Raw genomic sequence first — 16,164 nt, 5'->3', positions numbered from 1 at the left:
CAGAAACTCTACAAGCCAGAAGAGAGTGGGGGCCAATATTCAACATTCTTAAAGAAAAGAATTTTCAACCCAGAATTTCATATCCAGCCAAACTAAGCTTCAAAAGTAAAGGAGAAATAAAATCCTCTACAGACAAGCAAATGCTAAGAAATTTTGTCACCACCAGGCCTGCCTTACAAGAGCTCCTGAAGGAAGCACTAAACATGGAAAGGAACAACTGGTACCAGCCACTGCAAAAACATGCCAAACTGTAAAGACCATAGATGCTAGGAAGAAACTGCATCAACTAACGGGCAAAATAACCAGCTAACATCATAATGACAGGATCAAATTCACATATAACAATATTAACCTTAAGTGTAAATGGGCTAAATGCTCCAATTAAAAGACACAGACTGGCAAATTGGATAAACAGTCAAGACCCATCAGTGTGCTCTATTCAGGAGACCCACCTCACGTGCAGAGACACACATAGGCTCAAAATAAAAGGGATGGAAGAAGATCTACCAAGCAAATGGAAAACAAAAAAAGCAGGGGTTGCAATCCTAGTCTCTGATAAAACAGACTTTAAATCAACAAAGATCAAAAGAGACAAAGAAGGCCATTACATAATGATAAAGGGATCAATTCAACAAAAGAGCTAACTATCCTAAATATATATGCACCCAATACAGGCGCACCCAGATTCATAAAGCAAGTCCTTAGAGACTTACAAAGAGACTTAGACTCCTACACAATAATAGTGGGAGACTTCAACATCCCACTGTCAACATTAGACAGATCAATGAGACTAAAAGTTAACAAGGATATCCAGGAATTGAACTCAGCTCTGCACCAAGCAGACCTAATAGACATCTACAGAACTCTCCACCCCAAATCAACAGAATCTACATCCTTCTCAGCACCACATATCTCACTTATTCCAAAATTGACCACATAATTGGAAGTAAAGCGACCACATAATTGGAAGTAAAGCACTCCTCAGCAAATGTAAAAGAACAGAAATTATAACAAACTGTCTCCCAGACCACAGTGCAATCAAACTAGAAATCAGGATTAAGAAACTCACTCAAAACCGCTCAACTACATGGAAACAGAACAACCTGCTCCTGAATAACTACTGGGTACATAACGAAGTGAAGGCAGAAATAAAGATGTTCTTTGAAACCAATGAGAACAAAGCCACAACATACCAGAATCTCTGGGACACATTTAAAGCAGTGGGTAGACAGAAATTTATAGCACTAAATGCCCACAAGAGAAAGCAGGAAAGATCTAAAATTGATACCCTAACTTCACAATTAAAAGAACTAGAGAAGCAAGAGCAAACACATTCAAAAGCTAGCAGAAGGCAAGAAATAACTAAGATCAGAGCAGAACTGAAGGAGATAGAGACACAAAAAACCCTTCAAAAAATCAATGAATCCAGGAGCTGGTTTTTTGAAAAGATCAACAAAACTGATAGACCGCTAGCAAGACTAATAAAGAAGAAAAGAGAGAAGAATCAAATAGACGCAATAAAAAATGATAAAGGGGTTATCACCACTGATCCCACAGAAAGACAAACTACCATCAGAAAATACTATAAACACCTCTACACAAATAAACTAGAAAATCTAGAAGAAATGGATAAATTCCTGGACACATACACCCTCCCAAGACTAAACAAGGAAGAAGTTGAATCCCTGAATAGACCAATAACTGGCTCTGAAATTGAGGCAATAATTAATAGCCTACCAACCAAAAAAAGTCCAGGACCAGATGGATTCACAGCCAAATTCTACCAGAGGTACAAAGAGGAGCTGGTACCATTCCTTCTGAAACTATTCCAATCAACAGAAAAAGAGGGACTCCTCCCTAACTCATTTTATGAGGCCAGCATCATCCTGACACCAAAGCCTGGCAGAGACACAACAAAAAAAAGACAATTTTAGACCAATATCCCTGATGAACATCGATGCAAAAATCCTCAACAAAATACTGGCAAACTAAATCCAGCAGCACATCAAAAAGCTTATCCACCATGATCAAGTGGGCTTCATCCCTGGGATGCAAGGCTGGTTCAACATATGCAAATCAATAAACGTAATCCATCATATAAACAGAACCAAAGACAAAAACCACATGATTATCTCAATAGATGCAGAAAAGGCCTTTGACAAAATTCAACAACCTTCATGCTAAAAACTCTCAATAAACTAGGTATTGATGGGACATATCTCAAAATAATAAGAGCTATCTATGACAAACCCACAGCCAATATCATACTGAATGGGCAAAAACTGGAAGCATTCCCTTTGAAAACTGGCACAAGACAGGGATGCCCTCTCTCACCACTCCTATTCAACATAGTGTTGGAAGTTCTGGCCAGGGCAATCAGGCAGGAGAAAGAAATAAAGGGTATTCAATTAGGAAAAAAGGAAGTCAAATTGTCCCTGTTTGCCGATGACATGATTGTATATTTAGAAAACCCCATCATCTCAGCCCAAAATCTCCTTAAGCTGATAAGCAACTTCAGCAAAGTCTCAGGATACAAAATTGATGTGCAAAAATCACAAGCATTCCTATAAACCAATAACAGACAAACAGCCAAATCATGAGTGAACTCCCATTCACAACTGCTTCAGAGAGAATAAAATACCAATAATCCAACTTACAAGGGATGTAAAGGACCTCTTCAAGGAGAACTACAAACCGCTGCTCAACGAAATAAAAGAGGACACAAACAAATGGAAGACCATTCCATGCTCATGGATAGGAAGAATCAATGTTGTGAAAATGGCCATACTACCCAAGGTAATTTATAGATTCAATGCCATCCCCATCAAGCTACCAATGACTTTCTTCACAGAATTGGAAAAAACTACTTTAAAGTTCATATGGAACCAAAAAAGAGCCCGCATTGCCAAGACAATCCTAAGCCAAAAGAACAAAGCTGGAGGCATCACCCTACCTGACTTCAAACTATACTACAAGGCTACAGTAACCAAAACAGCATGGTACTGGTACCAAAACAGAGATATAGACCAATGGAACAGAACAGAGCCCTCAGAAATAATGTCACACATCTACAACCACCTGATGTTTGACAAACCTGATAAAAACAAGAAATGAGGAAAGGATTCCCTATTTAATAAATGGTGCTGGGAAAACTGGCTAGCCATACATAGAAAGCTGAAACTGGATCCCTTCCTTACACCTTATACAAAAATTAATTCAGGACGCATTAATGACTTAAATGTTAGATGTAAAACCATAAAAACCCTAGAAGAAAACCTAGGCAATACCATTCAGGACATAGGCATGGGAAAGGACTTCATGTCTAAAACACCAAAAGCAATGGCAACAAAAGCAAAAATTGACAAATGGGATCTAATTAAACTAAAGAGCTTCTGCACAGCAAAAGAAACTACCATCAGCAAACAGGCAACCTACAGAATGGGAGAAAATTTTTACAATCTACCCATCTGACAAAGGGCTGATATCCAGAATCTACAAAGAACTTAAACAAATTTACAAGAAAAAATCAAACAACCCCATCAAAAAGTGGGCAAAGGATATGAACAGACGCTTCTCAAAAGAAGACATTTATGCAGCCAAAAGACACATGAAAAAATGCTCATCACTGGCCATCAGAGAAATGCAAATCAAAACCACAATGAGATACCATCTCACACCAGTTAGAATGGTGATCATTAAAAAGTCAGGAAGCAACAGGTGCTGGAGAGGATGTGGAGAAATAGGAACACTTTTACACTGTTGGTGGGGCTGTAAACTAGTTCAACCATTGCAGAAGACAGTGTGGCGATTCCTCAACGATCTAGAACTAGAAATACCATTTGACCCAGCCATCCCATTACTGGGTATATACCCAAAGGATTATAAATCATGCTGCTATAAAGACACATGCACATGTATGTTTATTGTAGCACTATTCACAATAGCAAAGACTTGGAACCAACCCAAATGTCCATCAATGATAGACTGGATTAAGAAAATGTGGCACATATATACCATGGAATACTATGCAGCCATAAGAAAGGACGAGTTCATGTCCTTTGTAGGGACATGGATGAAGCTGGAAACCATCATTCTGAGCAAACTATCACAGGGATAGAAAACAAAACACTGCATGTTCTCACTCATAGGTGGGAACTGAACAATGAGACCACTTGGACGTAGGATGGGGAACATCACACACCAGGGCCTGTTGTGGGGTTGGGGGATGGGGGAAGGATAACATTAGGAGTTATACCTAATGTAAATGATGAGTTAATGGGTACAGCACACCAACATGGCACATGTATACATATGTAACAAACCTACACATTGTGCACATGTACCCTAGAACTTAAAGTATAATAATAACAAAATGTCAAAAAAATAAAGAAAAAAAAAAACTGGTTGCCACTGTATATACAGATGCTTCAGAAGCCTTTGCACGAAGATAAAGCATTCCCTCAGCAAATACTTATGGAAGGCCTTGCAGGTGAACAAGGCACACAACTGGCAGGGAAGGCAGGCATTTCAAGAGCATGTAAGAGCCACCTTGCATTACAGACAGGGGCAGGCCCTACCCAGGAAAAGGACCAACTCAGCATAATTGAAGGGACACTGGAGAAGACTCCCCAGTGACACGGGAAGACTCCCCAGTGACAGAGGAAGACTCCCCAGTGACAGAGGAAGACTCCCCAGTGACAGGGGAAGACTTTCCAGTGGCAGCTAAGCCAAGACCCAATGAATAGAAGGCAGACAGAGAATGGATGACAGGGTAGAAATAAAGAAGAAGGGGCGGATACACACACACACACACACACACAGACACACACACACCCACAGACAGTTTCTTCTGATGAGTTAATCTGATGGCAGTTAGTGCAATGAAGGAAACTGCAAAGGCTCTGCCTAGAGAAAATCAGAGCTAGGACTGTTCAGAGAAAGCTTCCTCAAGATGTTTTGGTAAAGAAGAAGCCAGCCACGGTAAGGCTGGTGGTGGTGGTGGTAATGGTGGTGGGGATTCCACACACAGGTAACAGAAAGCACAAAGGCCCACTGCAGATAAGAGCAATCAAGGGAAATGGTGACTTGGGATGAAGCTGGAGAGGTGGGTAAGGCAGCGGCCTTGGAGGTGGAGGGAGGAGTCTGGTTTGTGTCCTAGGTGCAATGGCAAGTCTGGAGAATGGCATGGTCTGGTGTCGACTTTACACACTGGCTGCTCTGGGAGGATGGATTTCACTGGGGCAAGAGCAGAAGTGCACCCCAGTTAGAAGGCTCCATGCCAAAACCTTCACTATGGTGGAAGACACCCTGTGCAGGGGTGACAGTGCAAATGGAGGGCAAAGGACTCCGGAGGCTAGAGGTACAACCCACAGGGCCCTGATGGGCAGGACTTGAGGGGAAGGGAAGGCAGAGGCAGGATCACTGTCAGGTTCGAGCTTAGTCTCTGGGGGGAGCAGGGGGTGGTGACCGACCAAGATGGGTAAGTCTGGAGGCAGACGGGAGACATTCTGGCAGGGAAGGCAGGTGCAGATACTAGTCTGCATCTCTGGGCTGTGATGTAATTTGGTAATTTCAAAATCATGAAGTTGGATGAGATCACATACACAGAGAGGAGACAAACACCCAGGCCTAAGACCAGAGGCACTGGATGAAGAAGACGGAGTCCAGCTTGCCCACACCTCACCAGGCAAGCCTGCCCAGCACCACGTGTCCAGCCATGACAGGAGAGCAGCTCAGCAAGTGCTGTCGGTTGCCTCGAATGCTGCTGACAGGTCCAAGGGGGTGGGGACAGAAAGAGGCTGCTGGAGGTGGCAATAAGGACTTGGCTGGGGACCTGCAAAGAACAGTTTCTGTGAGGCAATCAGGATGGGAGCCAGCCTGGAATGGACTGGAACATGGATGGGAACAGAGGAATAGAAGACAGCTTGTGCAGAAGCTGCTCTCCAGAAGCTTGGCTGTGAAGGGAACTGGAGAAGGCGTGATCATTGGAACAGGATGTGGCATCAGGGGAGGACATCTTTTTGAATAGTTGGGAAAATCTGCTGGGACTGCATATGCTGACAAGAATTATGCATCAGAGAGGGAAAAAGGTGACAATGTTAACTGCCAGATGAGAAGACAGGAGCGGGAGGAGGGAAAGGTCTAGAGCACCATGGAGGGACAAACCCCTGATAGGAAAGGACAGTGGGTGAGACTGGGCACACCACTGTTGATTTGGTGAGGGAAGGTGCGGATCCCTGCCTTATTCCGCCCTTAGCCCATCTAACTTGCGTTTGGCCTTCAGATCTCAGTTCCAACATCACTTCCCATCGTGGGCCCTTGGCTCAGTTACGTTACCTTTCAACATCCTTTGTTCTCCATTGAAGCACTTGTCCTCGCTTGTAATTGACATCTGCCTGGTATCTGTCTGCTCACAGTCTCTCCCCACGAAAGGTAGGGCCTGTGTCTCTCTTTGCTCCCCACTGTGAACCCATGGCCTCATACAGAGCCTGGCCAGGTAGGCAGCACCTGATAAGCACTTATCGGCTGCAGAGACTGATGAACAAGATGGAATCATGCAATCATGCCTGTCGTAACCATCAGGCAATGGCAAAGGCCTAGCTTCTAAGTAAAGAACAACTTTGGTGTGTTGACATCGTCCCTTGCAGGTACGGGACTTTCTCTTAAACATTTTGAAAAATCACTCAATTTCTTCAAGATGTAGATGGGAACCACGAAAGGGTCTTGACATCATGAAAGAGGATCTTCAGAAGAACCCTCAGCACAAGAGAATTGAGTCCGAGTGACTTTCCCTGACACGTAAGGCCTTCCACAGAAGGTCCTCTCTTACCTTCCTTCCTCCTTAATGACTCCATGACGCTCATGCTACAACCAGCCTTCTCCCGAGAGAAGCAGAAGTTCCGGAGAGCAGGTTCTCAGGAGCTTCTGTTCCTCTGGGCATCTCCCAGACCTGCAGAGCCCGGGACAGGGTGAGAGCCCACAGGACGCTGCACCTCTTTTGGAAGACTCTCCCCACCAACCTTTGGTGCAGCGGAACCCTCTTTTCTTGCACCCCAGCTCCAGACCCCCCATGTCTAAGATGCCTTCTCTGACTCCTTCCTGCCTCAGGAGGCTCTGAACTTCTGGGTCGCCACATCATAGGATCCTGCTTACTCAGCTTGTCATACGGGTCTCTCTGGCAGTAATGAACTTTAACACTCTCATGGCATCTCCCACCCACCTGAGCACAGGCTAGCTGCTTACATTTTTTACTTTTGAGACAGGGTCTCTCTGTCGCCCAGGCTGCAATGCAGTGGTGCAGTCATGGCTCACTGCAGCCTCAACCTCCCAGGCTCAAGTGATCCTCCCACCTCAGCCTCCCGAGCAGCTGGGACTATAGGCACACAGCACCATGCCTGACTAATTTCTGTATTTTTTGTAGAGATGGGGTTTTGCCAGGCTGCCCAGGCTGGTCTTGAACTCCTGGGCTCAGACAGTCTACCTGACAGTCTACCTGTCTTGGCCTCCCAAAGTGCTGGGATTACAAGCATGAGCTACCACACTGGGCCTATCTGGCCTATACACGGGGAAATAGGAAAGGAAGTGACTCAGCAAAGCCCCCTGCCAGATAGAGTCCTCCCAAGGGTCTCCTATCACTGTGGCATCCTCCCTCACAGCAGTCAAAGTGACTACACTTGTACCCACAGACTATCCCAACTGCAGAACCAACTTCCCACTTGTAAAAACACAATGACGTGCAGGCTTACTGAGCACATGCAGGGGCACCGTTGACCTCAATGAGCCACACCTTCAGCTCCTCATCGACCATGAAGTCAAAGCCGAAGAGCTGGAAGCTCTGGTAAGGGAGGTGCTTGGTGCTAATGGCAGGCTCCACGCTCAGGAGGCAGTTCCTATGAGGCAGGAGGGGAAATGCTCATTAGAACGGGGTGGTCAAAGGAGAAGGAAGACATGAGGTGTGCTTGAAAGATTTTATATGAGATGAATACAAATATCAGCTTATCAGCTTTAATTCTCTGTTTCCTTTTTTTTTTTTTTTTTTTTGAGACGGAGTTTTGCTCTTGTTGCCCAGGCTGGAGTGCAATGGCATGATCTTGGCTCATGGCAACCTCCGCCTCCTGGGTTCAAGAGATTCTCCTGCTTCAGCCTCCCGAGCAGCTGGGATTACAGGCATGCGCCACCGCACCCAGCTAATTTTGTATTTTCAGTAGAAACAGGGTTTCTCCATGTTGGTCAGGCTGGTCTCGAACTCCCGACCTCAGGTGATCCGCCCACCTCGGCCTCCCAAAGTGCTGGGATTACAGGTGCGAGCCATCGTGCCCGGCCTAATTCTCTCTTTTCAACTTATTACCATTAGGTTACTCAAGAGAATGTTACTTATCAAGCATTTGTTAGAAAACTGCAACCACTCGTGTTCTTCCAGGCAAAAGCCACTTTCCCATGTCTCAAGAAGCAGTAGAGTGCCGAGTCATTGTGGCCTCTGTAAATGAAGATTCTTCCAACAGCTGGGCTGCTGCCATGTTTGTTTATAACACGTAAAACATTTCCATGTATTTTTGCCATGTAAAGAATGGACTGCCCTTTGGTGAAGGGCAGGATTTGCAAAAAAAAAAAAAAAAAAAAACATGTTGACCTCACGATGTCGCTAGTTCTAGTTCCAATGGCAAATTATTGCTAATTACAAGATTTAAGAGCTATACATGTTGAAACTAAATGTTGAAATGTAGAAGTATTATTAGCAACAATGAATGGAAAAATGGCAGGATTTTAGTGACACAATAAAAAAGTTGAAAGTGTATTTTGGAAATACAATGAACAAGTACATGAGGTCTCAGGTCAGACCAAAATCTTGAACAAGTGATTGTTCAGTGAGATAATTACATAAGGAACTTGTCATAACTCCTGGCACCTAGGAAGCATTTTAATAAATGTTACTGTTATGAACAATTTTTCATCATATTTCCTTATGATAACCATATATCTATTATTTAGGAAGAATAAATACCTCTTATCTACAACTATCCCAGAAAACCTATGCCATTTCTGTTTTATAAAGATCTTCCCTGATTTTTCACCCAACTGAATGCTGGGGCAAAATATTTCTCTCAGTAAATAAAATGTGCTACAATGACTCTGGTGTACCAGAGATAACTGTCCTTCTACACAGCTGTGTATTTGGAAGGAAAAAGATACAGGGGCCAGCCGGGCGCGGTGGCTCACGCCTATAATCCTACCACTTTGGGAGGCCGAGGCGGGTGGGTAACCTCAGGTCAGGAGTTCGAGAGCAGCCTGACCAACATGGCAAAACCCCATCTCTACTAAAATTACAAAAATTAGCCAGGCATAGTGGCAGGTGCCTATAATCCCAGCTACTCCAGACGCTGAGGCAGGAGAATCGCTTGAACACAGGGGGCAGAGGTTGCAGTGAGCTAAGACTGTGCCACTTCACTCCAGCCTGGGTGAAAGAGCAAAATTCTGTCTCAAAAAAAAAAAAAAGAAAAGAAAAAGAAAAAGATACAGGGAACTGTCGTCCATGTGACTAACTCTAAGACGTAGCTCTAGATGCAGGTTTTGACTCATGACTTTAATAAAGAACTGAGGCCTTTGTGAACTTGGAGCCAGGGTCAATCCTCCGCCCTCGGCCCTCCACAAACTTCAATCTCCTTTTCTTTTTTCCTAAAAAGAAAAATATTTTAATTGATACATTTAAACCTTTAAAAACTATTTTGGCTTAAATGGTTCTTTTAAGATGAGTCATTTAAAAACTAATTATAATAAAAATTTCTTCTCCCATTCATATTCAACCTGAATTGACAAGCACACATCACATTAAAAAAAAAAAATCCCTGTTCTACACAAGAATATCCTTAACTTTTGCTTTAATTAAAATACTCTTGGCTGGGCGAGGTGGCTCACACCTGTAATCCCAGCATATTGGGAGGCCAAGGCAGATGGATCACTTGAGGTCAGGAGTTTGAGACCAGCCAGACCAACATGGTGAAACCCTGGCTCTCTACTTAAAAAAAAAAAAAAAAAAAATTAGTTGGCTGTGGTGGCGCATGCCTGTAATCCCAGCAACCCAGCAACTCAGGAGGCTGAGGCAGGAGAATCGCTTGAACGTGGGAGGCAGAGGTTGCATGAGCCAAGGCTGCAGTGAGCCGAGATCATGTCACTGCACTCCAGCCTGGGAAACAGAGCGAGACCCTATCTCCAAAAAAAAAGCAGGAGACAGGGTCTCACTCTGTCGCCCAGGCTGGAGTGCAGGGGCCCAATCATGGCTCACTGCAGTCAGCCTTGACCTCCCCGAGCTCAAGCGATCCTCCCAATTCAGGCTTCCGAAGTAGCTGGGACTACAAGCATGCACCACCACACCCTGCTAATTTTTTTTGTAACTTTTGGAGACAGAGGTTTGTCATGTTGCCCAGGCTGGTCTTGAACTCCTGGGCTGAAGTGATCTGCCTGCCTCAGCCTCCCAAAGTGCTGGGATTAGAGGCATGAGCCACCGTACTTAGCCTGTTTTAATTAGAATATTCTTTAAAATATTATAATTAAGGAAGATTTAAAAGTTTAACAGATGCTTATGGTAAAAAAGAGAGAGAGAAAAAAATACTAAAATATAAAATGGGGGCTGGACACAGTGGCTCATGCCCGTAATCCCAGCACTTTGGGAGGCTGAGGGAGGCAGATCACTTGAGGTCAGGAGTTCAAAACCAGCCTAGCCAACATGGTGAAACCTCATCTCTACTAAACATACAAAAAATTAGCACTGAGTGGTGGCACATGCCTGTAATCCCAGCTAGTCGGGAGGCTAAGGCAGGAGAATCGCTCAAACCCGGGAGGCAGAGGTTGAAATGAGATGAGATTGCGCCACTGCACTTCAGCCTGGGTGACAGACCAAGACTCTGTCTCAAAAAAATAAGATAAAATAAAATTGAAAGAAGTATTACATTCCAACATAAAGAAAAACCTGAGAATCAGAAGCAAATCAAAACTAATTTTTTTTTTTTTTTTTTTTTTTGCTGAAAGCTCAAGATTAATAATACACTTTAAAGGATTTTTATCCCTCATCAGAGACTTATACAGTGCATCTTTTTTTGGCTGGAGTGGGAAGTTAGGGGGAGGCTAGCTGGAAGGAAAGAAAACCTGAGAGCTGCTGGGAGCATTTATAGCACCACAGCAGCAACACTCTGAACAGCAATGAACAATGCGGAAAGGATGCCGCAAACTTCCAATAAAGCTTTTGCCTAAAATAGGAATTCTTTTTCCAGCATATTTGATTTATCTGGTGTCAGAATTCCAACCACCTATATTCCCTGAAGAAATGGGACTCCAAGCCCTGTAATTATTCTACTGGGCTCTACGTGAGAATACAGTAAGGAAAAAGTCTCAGTCATTGTGACAGGGTAGCATTGACATGGTGGATGGTAGAACAATGGGACAGAATGGAGATCCTAGAACAGACGCTCACATAAATGGCCACCTGATTGATTGATTGATTTCTGAGATGGAATCTTGCTCTGTTGCTCAGGCTGGAGTGCAGTGATGCGATCTTGGCTCACTGCAACCTCCACCTCCCGGGTTCAAGCAATTCTCCTGCCTCAGCCTCCCAAGTAGCTGGGATTACAGGCATATGCCACCATGCCTGGCTAATTTTTGTATTTTTAGTAGAGACAGGGTTTCACCATATTGGCCAGGCTGGTCTTGAACTCCTGACCTTGTGATCCACCCACCTTGGTCTCCCAAAGTGCTAGGATTACAGGTGTGAGCCACTGTGCCCAGCCAGCCACCTGATTTGTAACAAAGACACACCACAATGCAGCGGGGAAAGGACAAGTGGCCCTGGGTCAATGGGATATCCTTGTGGAAAGACATGAAACTTGATATATAACAACTTCAGATAGATTATAGTTCTAAAATATAAGAGATAAAACCCAGATGTCTACCAACTACAGAAGGAATAAACTGAAATACTTATACAATGGAATATTACACAGTAATAAAAAGGATAAACTACTGTTATGTGCAATAACATGGATGAATGCCACAGATGTAACACTGGGAAAAGCTGAACATAAAACAGGAAATATGGTATAATTCCATTTACATAAAGTTTAAGAACAAGCAAAATGAATCTAAGGTGATAAAAGTCAGAAAAGTGGCTGTCTTTGGCAGGGCATTTATTTATTTATTTATTTATTTATTTATTTATTTATTTATTTATTTATTCTGAGATGGAGTCTCGCTGTGTCGCCCAGGCTGGAGTGCAGTGGTGTGATCTTGGGTCACTGCAAGCTCCACCTCCGGGGTTCAAGCGAATCTCCTTCCTCAGCCTCCTGAGTAACTGGGACTACAGGTGCCCACCACCACGCCTGGCTAATTTTTGTATTTCTTAGTAGAGACGAGGTTTCACCGTGTTAGCCAGGATGATCTCAATCTCCTGACCTCGTGATCTGCCTGCCTCGGCCTCCCAAAGTGCTGGGATTACAGGCGTGAGCCGTCGCACCTGGCCTGGCAGGGAATACATGTTTTGAGGGAGTTCAAAGGAGTCTTCTGGGATGCTGTAAATGTTTTATATTTTTATGTATATCACAGCTAGGTGAGTACATGCATAACTGAAAACTCACCAGACTGTACACTTTGTGGATGTTACACCTCATTTAAAAAATCTTTACTAGACTTAGTAAACTGTAGTAAGTGAACACTAATGCTAAAATACTACTTCCAGGCATATTTAGAAATAAGACCAAGAGAAAAAAGAGACAATAGAAACAGACCTAAAAGTCAGGAGCTGACAAACTTTTTCTATAAAGGGCCAGACAGTAAATATATTAGGTTTTACAGGATATGTACCACCTCTGTTGCATATTCTCATTTTTACAATCTTTAATATATAAAAAACATTCTTTGCCCACAGACCTTACAAAAACAAGCTACAGGCCATATGCAGCCCATACACAGGGCATACTCTGGATTACTCTGCCATGGGTAATCTAGATTTTGGAGTTATCAGATAAGGATGTTAAAGAATTGCCATTATCTTCAAGAAAATATGAGGCAAGTGGGAGAATTTCATAAGACAACTATAATATGAAAAAAAGAAACAAATATAAATTTCAGAACTAAAAAGCACGCTAACTAAAATCAAGAACTCAATAGGTGAGTTTAACAGCAGCTTTTAAAAGCTTTTACCTTGTAAAAATTGTTAACAGGTTTTAATAGATAAAGAAAGGATTAGCAAACAAAGATGTCAGACGAAAAGAATGAGTACAACCATGGGGAGATAAAATGATACAAAAATGCCATAAAAGTGTGAGAAACAGTGAAAAGCATTAACAATCATGTAATTAGAGACCTAGAAGAAGAGGAGAATGGATCAAAAGACACAACTGAAAGTATAATGTCCATGAATATTCCAAAACTGGTAAAAGATATCAAGCCACGGTGCAAGAAGCACTATGAACCCAAATGCAGGAATATGTACAAAGAAAACTACACACATCTCATAGTAAAATTTATAAAAACCAATGTAAAGGAATCTCAAAAATAGAGAAGAGATACATTAAGAGCAATACTAAGATTTCACCTGACTTCTCAGCAGAAAAGATGGAAGCCAGAATACAATGGTATGCAACCTTCAGAGTAGGAAAAGAAATTAACTGCTTATCTAGAAATCTATGTCCAGAGCAAATGTCCTTAAAAACAAAAAGACAAAATATATTTTCAGACAAATAATAACTAATTTATCACAGCAGACTTTACTTAAAAACTACTAAAAATTAGTTTTTTTTTTTTTGAAACAGAGTCTTGCTCTGTCACCCAGGCTGGAGTGCAGCAGCACAATTTTGGCTCACTGCAACTTCCACCCCCCAGGTTCAAGCTATTCTCCCACCTCAGCCTCCCGAGTAGCTGCGACCACAGGTGTGCACCACCATGCCCAGCTAATTTTGCATATTTTGGTAGAGATGGGGTTTCAGCATGTATCAGGCTGGTCTTGAACTCCTGACCTCAAGTGATCGGCCCACCTCGGCCTCCCAAAGTATTGGGATTACAGGTGTGAGGTGCCGCGCCTGGCCTAAAAATGAGTTTCTTAACAATAAGGAAAATAATCCTAGATAAAAGCAAGGAAATGCAGGAAAGGAAGAGAAACAACATAAATGGTCAAAATGTGGGGAACTCTAAATGAATATTAACTATCTATAATCATAGGAATGCTGTCTTGTGAGTTTAAAATATATGTAATATTAATTATTCCCCATGTACCCACCATCCACTATCTTTAAGCCTCTTCCCTGTGTCCCTTCTGCCTTCCTTCTAGGGATATGAATAACCACTATTTTGAATTGTATGTTTATCACTTCTTCATTTTGCTTTACATTTTTACCATACATGTGTATTCAGCTAAATAAAACATTATTTAATTTTACTTGTTTAACTTATGTAAGTGAAATAAATTTGTATGCATCTTCTATATAGCTTGTATTTTTGCATTTTTTTGCTTAATATTATTTGTATATTTATATTTATACTTGTATAAATATTCATACTTGTATAAATATTTATACTTATACTTGTATAAATATTTATACTTGTATAAATATTTATATGTATATTTGTATAAATCCAGTGAAAATACCCTTCAGGAAGATGGTGAAATAAACACATTCTCAGATGACAGAAAACTAAGAGGATTTATCAGCAGCAAAACTGTTCTAAAAAAATGCATAAGAGAGAGAGTCAGAACTTTAAAACTTAAGGAAGTATATGGGTAAATATAAAAACTCTAAAAGAAATGCTTAAGTCTGAAGGGAAATGATACCAGAGAGAATCTCAGAACTTCGCAACTGAAGGAAAAACAAAAGTAGTATCTGGGTAAATATAAAAGAATATTTTTCTCCTTTTATAAAGTGGATTTCTTATAGACAGTATAGAGTTTGGTTTTATAGTTTAAAAATAATCCAACCTGATAATCTATCATACCTGTGCAAATATATATATAAAACTGTTGATAGCAAAAATAATAACATTATGTGGTAGAGATTTCAATGTGTAGATATATACTTATGATAACTATAACAGAGGGCAAGAGTTAGTGAACTATGTTATAAGGTTTTTGCATTTTATTTGAAGTGGTAAACTATTAACTCTAAGAAGGCTGTGAAATAATTGATATGTATACTGTAATTCCTAGAGCAAGCACTAAAAAAAAAAGCACTAAAAAAAAATAAAAGAAGACATAGCGCCAAATACTCAACAGGAAAATTAAAATAAAACTCTAAAAATATTTCACATAATTAAAAAGAAGATGGGAAAAAGAGACACAAAAAAACAAAAACGAAAACTACAATAAAGGAGGGGACAGACAACAAATAATAAGATGGCAGATGTGAGTCCAATACAATAATTACATTACATTTAAGTGGTATAAACACACCAATTAAATGACAATGATTATCATATTGGATTAAAATTAAAATACAGGGCCGGGCGAGATGGCTCACGCCTGTAATCCCAGCACTTTGGGAGGCTGAGGCGGGTGGATCACCTGAAGTCGGAAATTCCAGACCAGCCTGACCAACATGGAGAAACCTCATCTCTACTAAAAATACAAAACTAGGCCAGGCGTGGTGGCTCATGCCCGAAATCCCAGCACTTTGGGAGGCCGAGGTGGACGGATCACGAGGTCAGGAGATCGAGACCATCCTGGCTAACACGGTGAAACCCTGTCTCTACTAAAAATGCAAAAAATTAGCCGGGCATGGTGGCGGGCGCCTGTAGTCCCAGCTATTCGGGAGGCTGAGGCAGGAGAATGGCGTGAACCTGCAAGGCGGAGCTTGCAGTGAGCCGAGATCACGCCACTGCACTCCAGCCTGAGCGACAGAGTGAGACACTGTCTCAAAAAAAAAAAAAAATACAAAATTAGCTGAGCGTGGTGGCACATGCCTGTAATCCCAGCTACTCAGGAGGCTGAGGCAGGAGAATCACTTGAACCCGGGAGGCAGAGGTTGCAGTCAGCCATGATCGCGCCACTGCACTCTAGTCCGGGCAGCAAGAGTGAAACTCTGTCTCAAATAATAATAATAATAATAACAATAAATACAAATACAAAACCCAACTATATGCTGTCTACCAGAAAACTACTTTAAATATAGAATATAATACCTAGGGACA

The 16,164-nt window shown here is 42.1% G+C and overlaps 1 protein-coding gene across 4 annotated transcripts in view; it reads right to left on the bottom strand.

Moving 5' to 3' along the window:
* The window catches only part of TTL (tubulin tyrosine ligase), a 59,584-nt gene that overhangs the window by 13,569 nt on the left and 29,851 nt on the right, over positions 1-16,164 (bottom strand). For 2 of the 4 annotated variants that reach the window (NM_153712.5, NM_001371712.1), the window contains exon 6: positions 7,746-7,889. The exons of 1 other annotated variant lie outside the window; for it this stretch is intronic. In NM_153712.5, the coding sequence (NP_714923.1) occupies positions 7,746-7,889 (144 nt within the window). Of the gene's footprint in view, positions 1-6,830; positions 6,950-7,745; positions 7,890-16,164 lie in introns of those variants that run through there. One more of the 4 variants, XM_005263599.4, reaches the window with a different exon arrangement.

This window comes from Homo sapiens, chromosome 2 (genome assembly GCF_000001405.40).
Source record: "Homo sapiens chromosome 2, GRCh38.p14 Primary Assembly".
Classification (NCBI taxonomy): Eukaryota; Metazoa; Chordata; class Mammalia; order Primates; family Hominidae; genus Homo; species Homo sapiens.
The sequence above is the reverse complement of the archived record's forward strand: the minus strand, read 5'-3'. Positions and strand labels throughout refer to the sequence as shown.